General features: G+C 38.5%; 1 protein-coding gene across 5 annotated transcripts in view; it reads left to right on the top strand.

The window, feature by feature from the left end:
• The window catches only part of CSMD1 (CUB and Sushi multiple domains 1), a 2,059,554-nt gene that overhangs the window by 1,900,000 nt on the left and 136,577 nt on the right, over nucleotides 1-22,977 (top strand). For all 5 annotated transcript variants that reach the window (XM_011534752.3, NM_033225.6, XM_011534753.4 and 2 more), the window contains 2 exons: nucleotides 3,253-3,399; nucleotides 7,630-7,818. In XM_011534752.3, coding sequence (XP_011533054.1) covers nucleotides 3,253-3,399; nucleotides 7,630-7,818 — 336 coding nt within the window. The remainder of the gene's footprint in view (nucleotides 1-3,252; nucleotides 3,400-7,629; nucleotides 7,819-22,977) is intronic.

The raw sequence follows: 22,977 nt of genomic DNA, 5'->3' as shown, positions 1-22,977 counted from the left end.
AAGGTCAGAGTTTTATGTGAATATGTTTTTAAGCGATGACATTTTTGTTGCAGTAAATGTCATGTTCATATCTTTCTGTCTCTTTCTCTCTCTCTTTTTTTTTTTTTTTTTTTTGTAAGACGGGCTCTTTTATAGTTCATAGGTGGACCAAAAAACATGTTGAATATATTGATTTTATACTTTATTATCTCAAGAGTATATTACTCTCTATGGCTTAAGTAGTGGATATCCCATAATGCTTTTTAAAACACAGTATTTTAATCATTATGAAACTCAGTTGAGAAGACTGTCAAAATTAAAATTACAGTGTACACTGGTGGAATACTTAGTTTCCATTTTGGTAACAGAAATGGATACCTTCCTTTACTGCCGTGCTGGTTTTCTGCACATGCCAGTTTGAATATGTGCTTTTAAAGACTATTCCTTCTAGAAAGTTAGTTACATTTTAGACAAAGAGAACAGATAGAACATTATGAGGGTTCAGATGCTGGATTAAGAATACCTAAAACTGGCCAGGCTTAGTGGCTCACGCCTGTAATCCCAGCACTTTAGGAGACCGAGGTGAATGGATCACCTGAGGTCAGGAGTTTGAGACCAGCCTGGCCAGCGTGGTGAAACCGTCTCTGCTAAAAAATACAAAAGTTAGCTGGGCGCGGTGGCAGGCGCCTGTAATCCCAGCTACTCAGGAGCCTGAGGCAAGAGAATCATTTGAGCCCAGGAGGCAAAGGTTGCAGAGAGCCGAGATTGTACCATTGCACTCCAGCCTGGAAGGCAGAGCAAAACTCTGTCTCAAAAAATAAAAAAATAAAAAATAAAATAAAATAAAAAAAACCCTAAAACTCTACTCTTGAGTTCTGTCATTAAAAATGACATTTCAAAATATCATAAATTCAGGTTAATTAATTTACCAGTGGCATTTTATCTCAGAATATACATTATCCTTTTAAACGCCAAAAAGCAAACCAACATACCAAACACGCTTTGTCTTTGATTATGAAATACCAGCCACTCTTTTGCAGGGCATCTCCCAGGAAATTTAGCCATGACATTTTTCATAGTGAGATCTATTAATATCATTTCTTCTCATCCTCCTTCTCTCTGACCAAAGTCAGCATTGCCCGATTATTTAATATGCTAGTTTTGGTTTGTGGTTTTTTGTTCGTTTGTTTGTTTCACATTTCTTTCCTAGGACTGCCATGACAAAGTGCCATAAATTGAGTGGCTTCAACAGAATTTTTTTTTTTTTGAGACAGAATTTTGCTCTTGTTGCCCAGGCTGGAGTGCAATGGCACAACCTCAGCTCACTGCAACTTCCACCTCCTGGGTTCAAGCAATTTTCCTGCCTCAGCCTCCTGAGTAGCTGGGATTACAGGTGCCTGCCGCCACGCCCAGCTAATTTTTTGTATTTTTAGTAATGATGGGGTTTTACCATATTGGCCAGGCTGGTCTCAAACTTCTGACCTCAGGCGATCCACTCGCCTCTACCTCCCAAAGCGCTGGGATTACAGGTGTGAGCCACCATGCCTAGCCTCAACAGAAATTTATGTTCTCACAATTCTGGATGCTGAACCTTTAAGCGGAAGGGGTCAGAAGGGCGGGACTCTCCTCCAAGCCTCCCTCCCAGGCTTGCAGATGTGGCCCCCACTCAGGGCGTGCCTGTGTCTTAATCTCCTTTTCTTAGAAAGACATCAGTTATATTAGATCAGGACCCACCCATACTACCTCGTTTAACCTTAGTTATGTCTTTAGGGACCCTCCCTCTCTCTCTTTAAAGTCACATTTCCAAGCCCAGAGGGTTAGGACTTCATAGGACTTCAATGTGTAAATTTGAGGGGGACCCAGTCTAGTCTATAACAGTCTTACTTGAAAAAAATCATGAGAACTGCTCTGATTGGGAGTTACACGGTGAGTGGAGTATGGTTTCTCAGTATCTTTGCACAAATAAAATTTTAGGTATAACAACAAAGACAGCTGTCACTTTACTTCATAGCATTTGTATTATGAACAACAATGAGAGCTGCATTCTCCCAGTCCATAATGTGTTCCCTAGGAGTGAACTGTGAAATGCAAAATGCCATGAACGCTTTTACGAGTATGAGATAATGCTGAGCTCATTACAGAGTAGCGTTGTTGGCAAGCCCCAGTGCCATGAAGCAATTTCTCCTGAAAAATGGTTTTGGGTTATGGTGATGAGGGCAATGCCGGGTGACTCTCCACTGTGCTTTCTTTTCTTACCTATACTTTCAATGTTAACTTTGTTGTCTCAACGTTTTTAAAACAATTTCAAATACCATAGACAGGTGAAAAATGAAAAAACTAGATATGAATTTCAGGGCTTTGTCAAATTTACTTTAGGCCCTCATCTTATAAAGAAGCAATGTGTACAGGTAAATTTAGAAGCTTCACCCATATCCAATTCCACTTGTGCCTCTCCTAGAGGAAGTTAGTATTCTGAAGTTGGAGTTGCATGGGTCATGGTTATGCATGTTTTATAATTATTTGTGTATCTATCGTCCACAGATACACATGTTATATGTTGCATTTTTTATTTTTTGTATAATTGTTATCCTATTATATTTATCTCTAAATATATATTTTTAGTAATAATCTGTTATGTTAAGAATTACCTATGTGGATATGTGTATATCTAGTTTGTTAATTTTAATGCTGTATGAATCTAATTCTTTTTCATGGAATCTTCAATTCTTTTTTTAAAACTCCAAATTACTAGTTTGATCTAAAATTTGCCATGAGAAATAGTGTTAGAATACACATGTTCACTATATAAATAATACTTGCGTACATGTGCTAGGGTTCATAGAAATATAATTAAACCTTCAATTTTACTGGATATTACCAAACAGCCCTCCAAAGTGATTCTACTACTTTACGCTTCCACTAGTATTACATGAAAGTTTCTATTTTCCTGTGTAAGTACAATATTGTAAATACTAACAACAATACATATTACTTTCATTTTTTTCGGGTACTGCTGTTTTATAGACAAGGCTTATTTAAATATGACACCATTAATAGCATATGCACCTGAAATTCTTTTTGTACATTATTGTCTTATTTTTATCAGAAAATATATCTGTCACTATAGCCATTTGGAATTTGTTGTCCACTTTTGTAATAATTATATCTGTGTATTGCACACGTAGACTCCAGTGTAATCAAAAGCTAAACCTAGTATGCATTTGGTAGGTGCTCACTCATCTCTGAATGTTTTTGTTTTTCTGTTTCACTTAGGTTCTTCTGGGCAAAGTCCTCTGCTAGTAGTCTTAAGTGGGAATCATACTGAACAATCAAATTTTACAAGCAGGAGTAATCAGTTATATCTCCGCTGGTCCACTGACCATGCCACCAGTAAGAAAGGATTCAAGATTCGCTATGCAGGTAAGTAAATGAGGTTTAGATTTTATATGAAAGTATTTTAAAACAGGTGATTTTCATTGAATAAAACAATTTAAATAGAAATTTATAGTATAATCCTAATTCTTAAAGATTAATAATTAACTACAGTAGAAATATATGATGGGTAATTATTCTGAATGATTCCTCTAAACTACATTAGGAAATTTGTTGCTTAATATTTAGAATTTTATTGTTAAAATTATAAACTGCTGAAATTCATATTATAGAAAGCAAAGACATTTTCCAAAAGATAAACTAATATAATCAAAATTAATTTTAAAATATGTTTAAATGGTAAGCAAACAAATAGAAAAAGATAATTGTATTTCTATTAATTGCATAAGTGATGATAATCTCTTACTATTAATAGTTATGTTTTTGTATCTATCTGCAGGTCTCTTTATGTATGTTTCACACTACATATATGTGTATATATATATTTGTACAAATAACCATATACATAATAAATATATGTTTAATATATATTCCTCATCAAAATGTAAATTATTTTGCCCTTTATATACTGTAATCATTCTCTGCCAGCAGTGATTTATATTAACTAAATCAATTAGTAACAAATTGATCAAATCAGTCAATATATTTATTAGACATTAAATCCTGTATACAATCATCAGTAGGATCTGACCACACTATTCTTTAAACTTTCCTACAGAAGCAGTAGGCAGACTCTTAATTCCTGAGCACATTTCAATTACTAAGCAGAAAATCTAAACTTTTCTCAAAATCTCACTCAGCAATGCCCTTGACAGCTTTCAAGTTATGTTTTCCCGTGAAAGATGCTCATTGTGTATGGGAAGTGAACAATATGTGCTGACGGAGGATTGTTTATTACTGTGTTGGTGTTTTACGTCTTTAGGGACTACGAGCGTCCAAAGGGAAAACCAGGAAACAGTGTTAAAACAGCAGTTGTAAGAATAAGGTTTTAGCTCACTCTGGTTGGTAGACATATAAAATGGTAAAAAGCATCAAGATTTTGAAAGGCCCTTGATGTGAGGATAACAGGCAAGAAATTCAGATATTCTTCCTCTGGAAGGTTTAATAAAATATACTCAGACCTTTGCTGCAAAGACATCGATGCAATGATGGGATTTGCATTCAGCAAACTCCTTGTTCCAAAAAATAGATAGTCAGACTCTTTTTTTTTTTTTTTTTTTTTTTTTGAAATACAGTCTGGCTCTGTTGCCCAGGCTGGAGTGCAGTGGTGCGATCTCGGCTCACTGCAAGCTCCGCCTCCCGGGTTCAGGCCATTCTCCTGCCTCAGCCTCCCGAGTAGCTGGGACTACAGGCGCCCGCCACCGCGCCCGGCTAATTTTTTTGTATTTTTTTAGTAGAGTCGGGGTTTCACCGTGTTAGCCAGGATGGTCACGATCTCCTGACCTTGTGATCCGGCCGCCTCGGCCTCCCAAAGTGCTGGGATTACAGGCGTTAAGCCACCGCGCCCGGCCGATAGTCAGACTCTTAAAGGTGTTTGAATTTTTCCAATGTGGAAACATGGTCAGCTCAGAGAAAATCATGATGAACATAATTTATCTTGTTTTACCTGCAGAGAAATTCTTAGTAGCCTGGTGATATGATTATATCCTCAATTGTGAGAACAATGATTTCTACGTCTTTCAAAAGGTATTTTATTTGTTGTCATACCACAAGGAGAGCCTCATTGTTAAACTGTATTGGGAGAAGAAGAATACACAATTTTATGTTGTTTAAGTGGAGAGAGAGAGAGAAAGAGAGGCAGATAGATAGACACGTGTCATATGTGAATATAAAAAATTCTTTATCTATCTCACAGCTTTTTACTTAGAATTGATGACTCAGTGATCTCTGCTAGGTCAGCATCAGTAATTTTTGAGCATTGATTAAATGAAAGTGTCCCTAAAATATTAACATGTGGCCAAGGGAACTCTAGCCCATGATATTGTCACATGACCACACGTTGCATCCCCAACATGTATTTGCCCTATGCACGTAAACTCTTGATCATTCAGGCATAAAAGCAATATAATGAATCATCATAATTGGAAATCCGAGTTAAAAACGACAAAGAAATGCCTGCGAACAGTGGTTCTGGACAATTCCGTAAACTGTGCTAAGCGCAGGCTGAATTAACAATGTCCTTTTCATACTATGAGAAGCAAATGAAAGCTTCTGTATTGGGCGGGTTGAAAGTACAGACTGGTTTGGCATTCACACCGAAATTCCAGAATATCCACCTGTCCCAGTCTTCTCTCACCTGGGTACCCATTAGACTTTTCATTCTATATCCCAGCTTTTCCGAGGCTGCACCAGCAGAGTGGAAGGACCAGGCCCTGCTCCTCTGAATTCCTCTTCCTGCAGCAGGAGTTGGGCTGGCAGGGCCCCTGCTCCAGTCTCTCTTTGTATTCTGTGCTATGGTTTCCCCTGTAGGGCCCTTCATGTCTTATCCTAAGTGAGTTAGGAAAGAAGAGGTATGTTGAGGGGCTGGTGAGAGAAGAAACACAGTAAAAGAAAACGGAGCCTTATTGGAATCTGTAGAGTTAGAGCCTCATGGTCTCACTTCCTGCAAACTTTATTTAACTTATCTATGACTTTGGAGAGGAATCTACAGTCTGATTGTTCCTTCTATTTTTTATTAACTTTTTTTTTTTTTTTTTTTTACTAGCACAGTGATTCCAAGCCATTGATATTCAGGGTGCCTGATTGTACTCATACTTTGTCTAAACTAAGTATTTTGGTTCATTCAAAACTTAGAAGAATTTGGTCTAGAAATAACTGGAGGTAGAACATGGTGTGGCCAATGGAGCTGTGAATCAAGAGATTCTTATGGTAGTGGATTTTCAGTTAAGAAAAATCAGCCCATTAAAAAAAAGGAAATGGTACTTCAGAGGCTCACCCAGCTGAGAATATTTTCTGAGGACACTTCTCGTAGGAACATGGTTGACAACTGAGGCCAGACACATAGATGTTGCTTCTGGGCACCACTATGATAGAAAACCTTCAGAAGGTTTCTTCTGAATGTATTTCCAAGGAAAGGAGCAATGTTAAGCATTCAGACCTGCGTGTGTGTGCTTTTATATGGAAGCCCCAGAGGGAAGTGGAAGATCTAAAATTCTTTAAAAAGAAACTGAGAATTCCCAGTTCTTAAGGACCTTCTCTGTTGTATTGTTTAAATTCATCTGAAGTGAGTTCCTAGGATTTTGTGTAGTAGTGACCTCGCCTTATGCAGTAGTGACCTAGCCTTGTGCAGATGAAGCAAGTTTCTTTGTCTAAACGTGTAAATAAGATGCAGAGACTTTTAGCCATAAATATGACATTCTGTGTGGGTAAAATTATTATTTTAACAAATGCCCATCTCTAGTTTTAAAATGTCTCCTTACAAAGAGGGATGATTAAAGCTATTGTGAGATTGTAATTGACTCAAGAGAATGCATTTTCTTCAAAGATTTCATTCAAATCCCATATGCTAAAAAAGAAGGTTAATATCTACATCATTGTACAGTCCAGAAGTTTCACTGAACAGTCAAAAGGAAAGAAATTAATGGCCTTGATTAAGAAAATGTTATATATTTCTACTTTCTCTGTTTTAACAACACTTAAAAAACACGCAGAATATTTTTGTTTCAAATATGATGTCTTGTGCAGTACCCTATCACTTTTATCCTGGTGACAGATGTGCTTATTTAAGTCAGTAAGCTGCTTTAGAGAGGTGAGTGAGGTCATTCAAAATGATCCCTCTAGACCAAGTCAACCTGCAGCCTGTGGGCTGCATACAGCGCAGGATGACTTTGAATGCTGCCCAACACAGATTTGTAAACTTTCTTAAAACATTATAAGATTTTTCTGCAGTTTCTTTTATAGCTCCTTAGCTATCATTAGTGTTAGTGTGTTTTATGTGTGGCCCAAGACAATTCTTCTTCCAGTGTGTCCCAGGGAAGCCTAAAGATTGGATACTCTTGATGTTTCTCACAGTACTGTATTCAGGATCCTAGCTTCACATTGACTCAGAGCTGCAGATCATCTCAACTTCAGAGTAAGAGACTTGCCTCTTAGACTCTCAAGTTTTGGAATGCTCTTTAGAACAAACTTACATACTGGTGCTCATTTCCTACCTTTTGGAAATGAGAAGCCATTCATTTATAGACTCTCACAAAGGCAATGGCACTGGCCATTTGTTTGCTTGTTGACTTATTTCTGTGTGTGTCTGTCTGCCCACAGCACCTTACTGCAGTTTGACCCACCCCCTGAAGAATGGGGGTATTCTAAACAGGACTGCAGGAGCGGTTGGAAGCAAAGTGCATTATTTTTGCAAGCCTGGATACCGAATGGTCGGCCACAGCAATGCAACCTGTAGACGAAACCCACTTGGCATGTACCAGTGGGACTCCCTCACGCCACTCTGCCAGGGTAAGAAATGCGTTTTCATCCCCAGCCTTGTTTCCTGTGTATTGCTCTCATTTTAATCACTCTCTGAAAATAAATGAAGCACTAACTAAGAATAAAAGGTAAGGAAAAATTGAATGTTGGCTTATAACAGTACGAATTAAACCTTCTAGTGGCCATGCAAACTTTCCTGACATGTAGTTGTATAGCCTGAATTTGGAGAAGGGTTGGACATTCACTAGATCCTGGGTCAAGTTATTCTAACAGTTGTACTTCCTCTTGAAGTAAAAAACATGTCATCCAATTTAAGATTCAAAATAATTTTTCTTTACCATTGTATTAATTTAAAAACATTAATTTCTGGAAAACTCATTTTCTTTATTTTAGTTTAAAAACTCATTCTTTGAGCCCTAAGCTCTGTATTTGATTTTGTTTTGTTATTTAAATCTAGAGCTTGTTAAAGTTGATTTCAGTATTTCATGCCTTTTTTTTGGCATTTTATCTATCATGTGCATAAAAATCAGGTTTTCAAATAACACATTTTAATTTTAATTGAAGGCTTTGAAGTCATGAAATTTTCATAGTTTTATCTTATCAAGGTTTATATTCATAATGAATTATATTAGTCTTTGAAAGCTAATTATGATTTATGAGTGAAAGCTCATATAGGCTCTCTTTTTTGTCAGTTTCATTAGATATTAGATTTTCTGGTATTGCTTTGTGAGACAGTAATAGATACTTATCACAGTTATTGTAGGTGCCTTTGACTGTAAGAAGTTGATCAGACAGCCTGTATTATTTATGTTTTACCTCTACTGTATTATTTATGTTTTACCTCTAAAAATTCGTATTTAATGTAAAATAAACATAGAGATAGACTCAAGCAGCTTACTTCATTAGGAATGATTAGAATGATAATTTTTTTTTCTTTACAAGAATACTTTTTCTTTTAGAAGAAGATATATTTCTCATTTGCTTTAAATGTTCTATGACTCTGTTTATAGAACAGAGTCGTAGAATCTGTTGCTGAAGAGACCCAACTTCAGCTCAGAGAACACGCCATGGTCTGTGCCCCACTAGCACTGGCTAATGACAGAACCACAGCCCAAACGGCAGCCTGGACACAGGAAAGGGATTCGGTGGAATGGGCAGAAACTCCTGAAGTCATTTCCTGTCCTCTAGAGGTGGAGTCAAAATAGAGCCTAAAGAGAGTGTGCTCTCCAGGCCTAAGCACAAAGGGGTCCGGAGAGGGACCTTCATGTCCCAAAGGGATTCGGGTGATGCCAGGCACATGCTAGTCCATCTTTCTGATGGATATGCAAGGAGTTCTGGAAACGGATTATGAGGTGGAGACATGGCTTACCCTTTCAGTGAATGGTTGAGAAGGATTAAAGGATGTCACATATATAGGTTTGGGATAAGTCTTGACTTCTTTCTTCTCCCATGGCCTCCCCACACCCCAGCAGAACTATTTAATGCTAAGTTAAATGATTCAGAAATACAAATAGTGCACACTGCAAATGAGGCTCTTCTGACATCTTTACAGCTGTGGCCAAGGAATCTGTGGGAACATGATCAGGGTATCTCTTCTTTGTGTGGAACATGGCAGAGAGGCAATGGCTTTGTGTATATGGGATGCTAGAATGCACACCATGTTTTGGAAGAAGAGTTAGACTACCTTCCTTCAGATTTATTCTTGGCAATAAATAACTTACACGACTTTGTTCTCAAATTATAAAATATTTAAGAAGTATCATTTTTCTAAAACAGATCTGTGACTTTCTACACTTCCTGTTAACCTTTCTGTTAACCTGGGAGTCAATATGGTTTTGTTTTTTTCTTCATGCATTTTGACCTTTAAACTTGGAGGGATCTTAAAAACAATCCAGTTGAACTACTTATTTTTATGTATTTGAAACTGAAACACATAAAAGTTAAGGGACTTCATAATCATAAAAATGTTGATCTAGAATTCAGTCTTTCTGTGAGCCTGACCATTGTTAAAGTGGAATTTTCCTTGCCAGAAGAAATTATACTTAAAATAGAATCTCGCAAATACTAATTCTGAAAGAATCTATATTTTAAGCACTTAAATTCATTTCCTGTGCAAGACTTCTTTTAGTCACCTTTTAGATATTTACAATTTGTGTAAAATAGCATTTTAATTATAATATAAAATTATTTTCATTATATATATAGATTATAATGCTTAAAACAAAACAAAATGTAGCAAAAAGTAGGATTTTTGAACATTAAAGTTGTGTGGTACAATTAAATCAGCATTTTTATCATTTTAAAGACAAAATTAAACCTTTAAAATGAAGAGTAAAAATGATTATCTGGATAAAGGCCATTGGGAAGGAATTATAAAAGTTTTAAATAGCATAAGGTTGTACAACATATATTGGCAATTTATGCCCCAACAGTTTTTGCTTATGCTTAAAGAATTGTTAAAGGTGATTTAGCTATATTAAATATAAAATATAAATGTGTGATTTTTGTAGTGTGCAACAAAGAGAGATTTTATTTGTTTAGTATTAATTACACACTTTCCTTTTGTTACTTTTAGAATGTAGATTTTTTTTTTTTTTTTTTTGAGACGGAGTTTTGCTTTTGTTGCCCAGGGTAGAGTACAATGGATGTGATCTCGGCTCACGGCAACTTCTGCCTCCCAGGTTCAAGTAATTCTCCTGCCTCAGCCTCCCAAGTAACTGGGATTACAGGCACCCACCACCATAGCCGGCTAATTTTTTGTATTTAGTAGAGATGGAGTTTCACCATGTTGCTCGGGCTGGTCTCAAACTCCTGACCTCAGGTGATCCTCCTGCCTCAGCCTCCCAAAGTGCTGGGATTACAGGCATGAGCCACCCTGCCCAGCTCTAGAATGTAGATCTTTTACACGCTGTATATACTTCCCTAAGTTGTAGAAACACTTTGGCCTCATATGACAGAAAGAGACTTTGTGGGTTTTCAGCTGCTTTTCTTTGGCAAATTGCATATGGTGTGTTGTGGATTATGCTAGAAACCTTCTCCCATCCACTCACAGATATGTTGAGCAGTTGTGTGTACTGACCCAAGGAGAAATGACAACAACAACAACAAAAAGATTTGTTTCCTTCCAAGGGATTCACAGTGTAATAACGAAAAATAGAATGTAGGCTGGGTGCAGTGGCTGACACCTGTATTCCAAGCATCTTTGGGAGGCCAAGGTGGGTGGGTGGATTGCTTGAACACAGGAGTTCAGGCCAGCCTGGGCAACATGGTGAAACCCTGTCTCTACAGGAAATACAAACATTAGCCAGATGTGGTGGTGTGCACCTGTAGTCCCAGCTGCTTGGGAGGCTGAGATGGAGGGATGACTTGAGCCCAGGCAGGAGGCAGAGGCTGCAGTGAGCCGAGATCACGGCACTGCACTCCAGCCTGGGAGACAGAATGAGACCAAAAAAAAAAAAAAAAAAAAAAAAAAAAAAAATATATATATATATATATATATATATATATATATATATAAAAATTATGGTAACTGTCACCGTGGATGGAGAGCATGACCTGGAATATAGAGTTGCACATTTGGCTGTGTATAACAGATTAAGCGACTTCCTTACTGATGTGCAAATAGGACCCTTTGATGACTGCCTCAAAAATATATATAATCAGAAAAATTAAAAAAAATTATAGATTCGAAAAGTTATTTTGAGGCTGAAATACTTTAAAAAGAAGAAAGCACTCTGATTATCAACGATGTGTTGCTCTTTTCCTCTGGTGTTAAAAATAAAATATTAAGGGAACCCTATTTTCTATTTGGTTCTTGGAATCTTAATTAGTAATTTTAATTTACAAGCAGAGATATATGACACTTAGAGAATTTTATTTTCAGTTCTAAGAAAATTGAAGACATGTTCTGTCTTTTTAAAAAAACTAGCATTTTTGTTTAAAGAGAGTTAATATATAAGGAAGAATCGTCACCGTTTATGTGATCCTGAATTGCTGACAATTCATAATTATGAAATAAAAATAAATAAAAGAAAAGAAAAATGAAATATGAAACAGAAGACTAGGTGAGCTCTTTCTTTAAAATGTTTAGAACTCCACGTGGGAAAAACAATTTTCAAAAACCCCAGCTAAATTAACACATCACCACGTCTTCGCCACCCAAATCAGCACAGAAGTTTTCATGATTTTATTTTTCCCGCAGATGTTCACATTCGATATAAAGCTGGGACATGAGAATCTCCACATAGCACATCTGTAGGGATAGAGTTACAGGTTTTACCTCTGAGGCTTCTAGGCTTCAAGCACACTGTCCAAAATAAAAGTAGATACAAGGGCTATGTTTATGGAGAGGGTATCTTTTGTATAATTTCTTGACATGTTTCTTTTTGTATTCAAGAGTACAGGCAAAGCGATGTTAACTATGTGTCTGTTTTTGTACATTAAGGTTGTTGCTGTGGGTCTGAAGCCTCATACAAGTATTAAGGAAGTTATGGCTGTTTTCTTTTCAATTCAGACTTAGCTCTGAGTTACGCACTGCAGGCGGGTACCAAGGTGAATAAAAAATATTCCCAGCTCTTATGGCTCTGCTAGTCCGGAGGGAGAGAGTCTTAAAAACTGATAAGTACAAGTCAATATGATAGTCAGCAGGAATGGATAGTCATCCGGCGGGAGTAGCAGAGAAGGTCCAGGATATTGGGATGTCTGAGCTGGAATGTGAAGGGGACATGGTGGAGGACGATGGGTTGGAGAAGCTGGCAGGAGCAGCCCATAGGAAATCTCAGCTGCAAGTTTACGTGGCTTTCAGCTTTTGTCCTTGCTTGACGAGACTCCGTTAAAGAGCAAAAGAGATACAATCCCATCTGTGTTTTAGAAAGCTTGATCTTTCCGTGGCATAATGAATGATTGGCACGCATCCTGTCTGGAAGACACGAATTCTTAGTGGGTTATAGCAATGTGTGTTTGAGGGATATGAAGACTTCCAGAAATACAGTGAGAAACAAGTTTTGCATGAAAACAGGTATTGAAAATACTTAGGAAACAGAGTCCACAGTCTCTCGTGAAAGCAGGTAAAAAGGAAGAGATAAATCTGGGATGACATATGTTGGTGGGGGACATGATTGCTGGGAGTATTTGGTGCCACTCAGTGAAATAAGGACCATGTGAGGGAAAGGAAGCTTCATGAAATTGATTTTGACATTTGTGCTTCAGGTCCACGGGGCAAGCTGTCCCCAGTAGTGACTCTGAGGCTAAGAAAAGATGGAGTTTTAAAAATTACCAGTAATGAGGCAGTGGATTTTAAATTAGTTTAAGATACTGGATGCTTCATTTGCTTTATCATATTTGACTTTGTAACTTTTATAAGGACCAATCGAAATGAATAAAATTGTAATTAAAGAAAGACTATCTGCTGTAATAAATTTCAAACTAGGCAGCTCTACCACAAAATAAATAACAGTTTAGACTCTGACAGTATCTCACATTTGGTCAAAAGTGGTTATAAATCCTGCAATAAATCATAGAGAAGGTCATTGAGATAATTGGGAATGTAATTACTAATGCAAATGTTAAAATATTTTAAGACTTCCACGTCCAACTTAAAGGTCATCATAGTTATTTAATTATTTTATTTGAAAATTTTTATTTGAAAACTGTAAAAAAAGAAAAATAATTTTAAAAAATAGCAAATATCTCTTTGTGGCATTGGGAACTTAAAATCTATATTGATCTATTTTAATATTACATTCATCCTTGAGTTGACATTCTATTTTTTTCTCAATGATTTGAAAAGCAGTCCGTTTATTCTTACATAAAATAAATACAATTTATAAACTTCCTGAATGCATAAAGGACATTCGTTCTTCTCCTTTACAAAAATATCTAGAAGAATATATTCAAATAGTTACTAAAATGCAACAGGTACCTTTTAGTAAATGAGCAAGATCAAACCTGGCACGTTGAGCTCATTCTCTTTTAGGCCCTCCAGCTACCAATCTTATAAACCATGTGGATGCCACTGTGTCCCTCGGACCCGGGCAAAATACCCTGCCCCTTGTAGCCATTTGGTAAACATTTTAAATTTATAAAATCACTAATCCATCACTTTCTAAGATAAATATGGGAGAATATTTTTCCTTTTAAAGATTATTTAGAATTGGCTTTTGTTGTCTTCTATTTTAATTCACTTTTTTTTGCCAATGACATTGTAGACGCATCATATTTTTAGAGAAAAATTACTCGGATTTGAAATTGGAGGATACATTGTGAGGGCCATCCCCCTCCAAAGTAGCCCCCAAAAGGCCAGGGAGCCCTGATCTCCCTAAGCCTACTTTCTGCCATGTAAAATAGAGATTTTGATATCTACGTCCCAGAATTATTGAGAGGATTCAATAAATAATATAGGATAAGCCGTCAGATATTACATGCATGCCAATTATGATTGTTAGGTCTTGAAGGGGATTTGGGAGGCACCCACTCCAAACCCATCCCGAATTGTGGGGTTCAAAGTGGCAGGCCCCAGGCCACAACCCGGACAGAGATCTTCCCAAGACCCCTTGATGGCTCGCAATTAGCTTCTGGATTCAGCAAATAAAAGTTTCGCTACCAATTGTCTGTGAGTGAGAAGATGGAGCCGGCAAAATGTATTTTATTGGTTTCAGGGAACTCCAGGTTGTTTTTCTCACTTTGCTTGACCTTTTAAATTATTTCTCTCTGAAAATCTCTGTTGGTTCTTATCGACCTTGATAAAGCCAGGCAGATCTTCTGTCCTCAGGCTTCATTTCCTGCCTTAAAGCAAGAAACTCTGCCAAGCAGCTGTTTCCATTATCAGCACACTAATCTTATTCATCTTGAGGAGAAGCCTGAATTAGAACTGAAATTCTCTGTATTATCTCAAAGATCCAGTTAAACTGGCACATCAGAGTGCACTGCTTTCAAGTTCCCTGGTCAAAGAGAGAGCAACTCCCAGGCAGCTATTTACTTTCAAGGTCTGGTTCTCAGAGCCTTCTATCAGCTGTGGCTTTTGCTTGGAGTGGAGTTTGTCTATTGTTTATTTATGATTTGCTAGCATTTTGCAGGCAACAAAGAGTACAAAAAACAGTCTTTCTCACAAATTACATGATTAAGCTTCTGTTTTTAAAGTCAGGCCTTTTAGATAGAGATAGCTGCCTATATTCTGCTTCTACATAGCATGGCCAAGGACGGAACTGGTGCAAAGAGCTGGGTGGAGGGGACAGAGGATGCACGTGGATATGTCTGTGTGTATCTCTTCAATCGTCATAGATGCTGTTGCTCACAGATGATGTTACCAGAAAAAAAAAATGCCTCATTATCTCAGGTGGGATTTAAGCTCCAGTCTTTCAGATTCCAAAATCGAAGCCATTTCCATTATACCCTGCATTCACCCCCGAAACATGATGTTTGCCCACAGAGAGGGCATCTTTCAGAGGAAACTGTCCTTTTACTTTATACAAAATTTTTAAAACAACATCATTCTCAAATGTTAGGAGGATATGTTAGGAGACCTGGCATAAATGAATTAACTGAGATATTTTGTAAATCTTAAAATCCTTCACTTATGAACATAAAGAGCATAGGTATTTGAGACTTTTATCTTGATTTTTTTATATGCATATCTATTTGCTTCTATTTCATTATCAATCTTCTCCTCTGTTTTGTGATATTAATACAATATTTCCAGACATTTAGATTTCATTAGAAACTTACATTTAAATAGGAACTTCTGGGATTTTAAATGTCAAATCACATGCTATGATATGTATGTGTGAGTATGCTTGTGTCTCTCTTTATATATAGACACACACTTTTATATAGGTTGTAGGCATTATGTCAGCCAGATTGTAAATTATCAGAATGTGAATCCACACAGTCCATATAGCTCAAACTGGCCAACTCCCATCAAGTATATTGTAAAATGAGGTTTATCCCAGTTGCCCTTGCTTAAATCTACCTCACACAATCTTAGGGGATTTGAAAGGAGTGCTTGGGTACAGTACTGTGCAGTGCAGTTGCAGTCAGGCTCCCGCAATTGAGTGATGGATTCCTCCCATCCCCAGCATTTGCTGGCTCTGTGACCCTGGACAGGGCAAGTGACTTCACTGAAGTTCTTTATCTGCAAATGGGCATAAAGGTGCTCCCCCCCGTTTTGAAGGACTAAACGCAAATGTTGGCATGAAACCTTTATCATACTGCCAGCTAAGAACAGGAGCCCAACAAAAAAGGAACTCGCATGCAGTCAGACATGTCTGCACCCAGGAGTGTTTTTGGTGCAAACCTATTGGTTGGCTGTCAAGCAGAATGTTGTTGAATGTCAAGGCAGCAGTGTTTAGGTAACTAAGCTGGTAACATACTTCCCTTCTTGTTCATGGTAGCTGAAATCAGACACTGGCTCTCTTTTCCTGTAAAGGGCCACGTAGACCTTCAGTCTTTGGGGATCATATGCAGTCTCAGTGGCATATTCTTTGTCTTTAAGTTTTTCACAATTAAAAACGATGTAAAAGCCATTTTTAGCTTGTGTATAAAAACAGGCTGCAGGCTGGTTTCGACCCACAGGCCATAGTCTGCCAACCCAGGATCAAATTAATCTTCCAAGATCAGACTGAAACGCAGAGTCCAACGCCGTCAATATCAGTTACTTTCTGCAGTTTGCAAATTATATGTCAGGCATTTTACTGAAGACATGTAATTTTGCTCTACCATGTGCTAAAATCCAGCATGTTTATTCATTAAATTAAATAACGCATTTCCTCTGTCCATGCTTAGCACACATCGAGCATCCCAAAACTTCACCTATTCTAACTGTGTGAAATGTGGCTAATAATAAAAGCAGTATTGTAGTCAGTGGAAGTGTTCAAAAAGGGTAATTTTGTATAATAGTAGTAGTGATATGAAGACCTTGACCTTTCTGCACAAGGAACTGTACAAAATATGCAAAGTAATAATATTTTATAAAAGAATCAAGGGTCCTATGCATAAGAGTGGCTAATAGAGATCAACTATATATCTCACACATTTTAAAAATGCTATAATGGAGTTTAATGTGCTTCGCGTTGAGAAATAAACCTGACATGGAATACTCAAAATATTTCACAAAGCAAACAAAGGGATCGTGTGAGGATAAAGGAAACGGAGGCAAATGGAAGTGGAGATGAAAAAGTCAGCCCAGAACTTTCCACTTCAGCAGGAGGAACTTTGAAAATGACAGCTCCTAAATCAGTAAAAGGCAAAGAGGAGTAAAGACAGTGAAATGCCCTGTGTGCAGTTTAAGATACCAGCTGACACTGAAGGATAGGTTATGGTCTTTCATTGAAGAGGCACAGCGGCAGCCTCTACCTGTGAAAGTGACAGTTTGAAAATGTCAGTCCCTGGCAGAAAGAAGAGCAGCTCTGGGGGAAAATGTGTAGGCAAGCCGGGGTCGGGGCTGCAGTGGGTAAGGCCCCGATGGGCATGCAGGCATAAGCCTCAGGCTACTGGGGAAGTTGGCTTTCCAAAATTCTTAAGGTAGAGATAGCTGAGACAGGAAAAATAAGCAAACAATTCAAAGGAAGTGACTACTACGTTCTGGAGGTGGCTGGACCTGCCAGCCAGGATGAGGCTTCTGCCCAGAGACCATCACAGGGAGAATGAGTGCTTTGCTCTGAGGCTGGAAGGCAGGTGTTTATGTCCATGTAGACCACATCGATGCAGACAGTGTGTGCTTTGCCTGTTTTCCCACCTTTGATGCACTGTTGTTGAGGTGTGGAGTTGCTTCTCATCTTCTCATTTCAGGGCTCAGTCCCCAGGCAGTCTGCTGTGTCTTGGGGGGACCTAGGCACCCACTGTGGCCTTTTGTCCATGTCTTGGCATTTCTTACTTTGATTTCCTATTTGTGCAGCTGTTTAGTCCTCCATGACCAATGGTTCTCACCTTGCAAAGTTTAAAAAATGCATTCCTGACTCCCAGCCCTGCACGATTCTGATTTGGCAGGCTCCAGGAAGTCCGGAGTCTCTGCTTTCAAATACATACCAGACGTGCAGGCACCTAATGAGCATGGGTTTAACACACATACCTGGGCACACATGGATATAGGATGGAAAGAAGTGCACTTAGGACTCCAAAAACAGGGAGGAAGGAAGGACGGTGAGCAGGGGTGAGGGTTGCCTGTTGGATACAATGTTCGCTACTCAGGTGATGAGTATGCCAGAAGCCCAGTCTCCTTCATTATGTAGTATATCCAGGTAGCAAAATGCACATGTACCCTCAATCTAAAAAATCATATACCCATATGAGACAACACACTTCTTAAAGAAAAGGCAGAGATTCTGCTGTACCTTCGAATCCCCAGCATTTTGCGCAAAGCCTGGGCCACAGTTGTCATCAATATGAATTTATGGAGAAATGAATTTGGCTCAACCATCTCACCAATCCTTTCTTTCATGAGGTTTCTAACATAAACAGTGTTGCTGGGAGGAAACAGCTTGAAATTAGGCCAGCGGTGGTGCAGTCTTCAACTTTTAAAAATAGTGAGAGCAGTTATGGGAATATCTTCCAGCAATCGGAGCATCTCCGGCATAGCAGAGCCACAGAGTCCTGTGACTGGGCAGTGGCACCAGAGATAGAAAGTCTGCAGGTTCTGCCTGCTACTTGGTGTCATGGGTTGAATTGAGTCCCCTCAAAAAAAGTACGTTAGAGTCCTAACTGCCAGTACCTTAGAATGGGACTGTATTTGGAGACAGGGTCTTTCTTTACAGAGGTGATGGAGTTAGTCATTAGGGTGAACCCTAATCCAATGTGGCTGGTGTCCTCATACAAAGAGGAAGTTAGCCTGCAGAGACAGAGGTGCACAGAGGGGCGACCATGCAGGGACACAGCAAGAAGATGATGTCTACACACAAAGGAGATAGGGTCAGGCAGAACCAGCCCCGCCGACACCTGCGGTGGGACTTCCGGCCTCCAGGACTGTGAGAAAATCCATTTCTGTTGTTCTGTGGTGTGTTGTTATGGCAGCCCTGGCAAAAGAATACAGACACAAACTTTTAAAAATAAACAGTGACAACGTCTTTTTTTTTTTTTCTTTTTTTTGAGACGGAGTCTCGCTCTGTCGCCCAGGCTAGAGTGCAGTGGCGCGATCTCGGCTCACTGCAAGCTGCGCCTCCCAGGTTCATGCCATTCTCCTGCCTCAGCGTCCCTAGGAGCTGGGACTACAGGCGCCCGCCACCACGCCCGGCTAATTTTTTTTTTTTTTTTGTATTTTTAGTAGAGACAGTGTTTCCCCATGTTACCCAGGATGGTCTCGATCTCCTGACCTTGTGATCCACCCGCCTTGGCCTCCCAAAGTGCTGAGATTACAGGCATGAGCCACCGCGCCCAGCCAATGTATTTCTTACTTAATGTGTCTGCAGATAAAAATACATTTACATAGTCCAGAAATATAAAAGGAAGGGACAAAAAAATAAGCTGCAACCCACAAAACTGATATAAAGCTATTAGGTTTTTGTCATACCTCTATAAATGTATTAGGCTGTTCTTACTGTAAAGAAATACATGAGGCTAGCCTGGCATGGTGGTCCATGCCTGTCATCCCAGCACTTTGGGAGGCCTAGGTGGACAGAACAGCTGAGGTTGGGAGTTCGAGACCAGCCTGACCAACGTGGAAAAACCCTGTCTCTACTAAAAATACAAAATTAGCCAGGCATGGTGGTGCATGCCTGTAATCCCAGCTACTTGGGAGGCTGAGGCAGGAAAATCACTTGAATCCAGGAGGTGGAGGTTGTGGTGAGCCGAGATCACACCGTTGCACTCCACTGCAGCCTGGATGACAGGGCGAAACTCCATCTAAAAAAAAAAAAAAAGAAAGAAAGAAAAGAAAAGAAAAAGAAATACCTGAGGCTGGGTAATTTATAAAGAAAAGAGGTTTAATTAGCTCACAGTTTCTCCGGCTGGACAGGAAGTATGGCAGCATCTGCTTCTGGGGAGGCCTCAGGAAACTTCTAATCATGGCAGAAGGTGAAGGGGGATCAGGCACATCGCCTAGCAAAAGTAGGAGCAAGAGAGAGTGAGAGGGGAGGTGTTACATGCTTTTAAACAGCTGGATCTTGCAAGAACTCACTCACTATCATGAGGACAGCACCAAAAGGAAGGTGCTAAGCCATTCATGAGAAATCCGGCCCCATCATCCAATCACCTCCCTCCAGGCCCCACCTCCAACACTGAGAATTACAATTAAACATGAGATTTGAGTGGGGACATAGATACAAACCACATCAGTAAACATATCTATTATATCTATAATCTATGTCTTTATATCAATTGAATGATATCACACTTTCCATGATATGGCATACACATTATTTTATATCCAAAAATTATAATAAAATGCCAAAAATTCTATTCTAAAATATATGTTTGTATATTTATTGCAATTTCAATGACCAGTTATGTCGTTTCTAACTATTAGATAAAATGCAGACATGCATACTCATTCAGAAACATCTTTGCACTTTCTTCCACTCATTGCCACAGGATACAATTTCTTGAAAGTGAAATACAGGCAATGAACAGATGACATATTGGGTTATCTTGTCAAACTGATCTTCGGGTAATCCAAATAGGCTGCTCCACTACAGGTGTGACGGCTTGCTTCTGGAAGCTTCTATGTTTGAGGAGCCTGGTGAAGGTAGAATCCTAAGAGGAGGTGGGGTGACCGACGCCCTGGGTAGACAGCTCCCTATGGACCTGGGGGTGCGGTGGACCCTCCTCCCGTGATTGCGTTATGTTGTTGGCACAGACACACTTCAGGAAGGGAGAATGTGCTCAGATTGTAGGACCTCACCAGACGGGCTCTTCTAGGGGCAGAGTTCTTACTGGTCAGAGATTGAAGGCCTGAGAAAGACTGGATGTGAGGGAGAGCCTTTGTAGCTGTCTTGGAAGATGAAGAAAGACACAGAACATGGAACACAGGGCCTCTGGACGCTGAGAGCCCACAGCCAGTCAGGAAACATTCAGCTGCGCAAATGCAAGAAACGTATTTCTGCCACCACTTGAGTGATCTTCCAAGTGGATTCTTCCCGCGCCTCCAGGTGAGAAAGCAGCCCGCTGCCACCCTCAGGGTGAGGCCACGCCCGTACCTGAACTGCAGAAATCGTGTTGGAATAAATGTGTGCTGTTTTGGGCCTCTATGTGTGGAATAATTTATGTTGCAATAAAAAGAAATCATTATAATTGCCAATCTTCTTAATTCTTGCACATCTAACAGTCAAAATGAAACAAAAAAAATCACTCATTGTTTCCATTTTCATTCATTTGATCATTACTCAGTAGAGAATACTTTTTTTTTTTGGTAATTTTTTGACCATTATATTTTATATTTTTTTAAAGTTCATGTTCTCATTTTTCTTTGGTTTTATTCAATTTTATTGAAAGTTCTTTGTACAATAATTTATTAGCCACTTGTCAGTCATATGTATTTCAAATGTCTTTTATAGTCTATGAATTGAAACATCTTAATCTTTATGAACTGTGGCCTAGAAAAGTCCTCTCTATTTTCTGTTAAAATTGATTTATTTTTCTAAAGTTTGAATGATTTCATTTATACATAGAGCTACTAATTTTCTAATCTGTAGCTTTGCTTCATTTATACATGTAAGTATTTGCTTCCTATTCTAGAGTGAATCTGTGTTGATCTCAGTGTGATCCTGTTTTAAGATGTCACCCTCTCAGATGGCTACCCAGTTTTCTGAGTGTCATTTATTAAATACTTTGCTGGGTAATTATTTTCATTATTTTCTCCACTAATTTTTTTTTGCTGATTTAAAATTCCAACTACTTTCTATGTTAAATCATCTGGTAGGTGGGTATCTATTTCTGGACATGCTGTTCTTTCTGTTTACATGCATGATTTCCTATGCCAAGTCCATAGTGCTTTAATTGAAATAACAATAATATGTTTTCATATCAAATGCATTCAAGTCATTTTCCTCACTCTATTTGCAAAGTTTTCATCAGAGACAATAGGACTTTTGTATTTATTTAAGAACTTTAGCATCATTTTAACTAACTTTAAGAAATAGCACTGGGAATTTGGGAGGGTTGCATTTCATTTTTACAAAAAAGAGTGGAAAAAATTAATTTTATGATTTTATTTTTCATTAGGAGAAGAGTTGACTGGGGAGATTTTTCCAAGCCAATTTTGTCTATTCTTAATATTATCTGACACTTGAAGGCAAATACTGGGTTTTGCATTACTCTGAATTAACATGATATTTATGTTCCCATTAATACTGAAAAGTGGGCACCACACACACACCTATATATATACATCGACCAGTATTCAGATATTCGGCAAGCTGTGCTAACCAATACGATGCTATGCACTGAAATGGAAGAACCTCATGCCTTCACTCCAAGTGGAGATGAAAAGTTCAGATTCTTGGCATCGTTTCTCTGCCACATCTGCTTCCCTAGTGCTAATTAAAATTGGGATACTATTAAAAGGAGGCCCACAAATGAAACATCTGAGGGTGTTCCAACAGCTCTTTAATTTGGGCTGGAAACCCAGGCACACATGCACATAAACACCTACGCCAAGAACTGTGCTCTTCCAAGTATTTTGACCATGACATGACAAGCTTGGTGGAACATTTTCTGGTTCATATTAACATAATATTCTTTAAAATAATACCTCCTTGGCATATTGATTTATTCTATGACTGGTTTAAAAAAATTCTGAAGCTTGTTCTTAGCTATGCTTTTTTAGAGGGTGATAATTAATTGTTAAAATCTTCATTGTTGATTCTAATTCAGAGCATTTGTTTTGTGGATTGGTTTGATATATTCTTCGGTTCCATACTCCTAGTTTGGTCAGCTTAATAGAGAAAATCATTAATTGGACTCTTCCATGTAAAAGTTTGTAAACAAAACTTTCGACCTCTAATTGTAATAGTTTGAATCTGTGCAGACATAGACTCCGGAAGAATTGATCTCAGATGCCCTGAGACTCGAGACTTTCTGCCATTCACTCTTACTCTTGAACCTTTCTGAGGTACTATTGATTTTCTTCTAAAAAATAACTTAGACGAGCATTGTATGGAATGCATTATCCAGAAAATCATTTACCATGCTTGTTTTCTGTTAATAGACCAGTGGATTATACATGCGCATTTCTTTTACTGGAAGGGTTGCTTCCAGGTGTCATGA

This window comes from Homo sapiens, chromosome 8, assembly GCF_000001405.40.
Source record: "Homo sapiens chromosome 8, GRCh38.p14 Primary Assembly".
In the NCBI taxonomy this organism is placed as follows: Eukaryota; Metazoa; Chordata; class Mammalia; order Primates; family Hominidae; genus Homo; species Homo sapiens.
The sequence above is the reverse complement of the archived record's forward strand: the minus strand, read 5'-3'. Positions and strand labels throughout refer to the sequence as shown.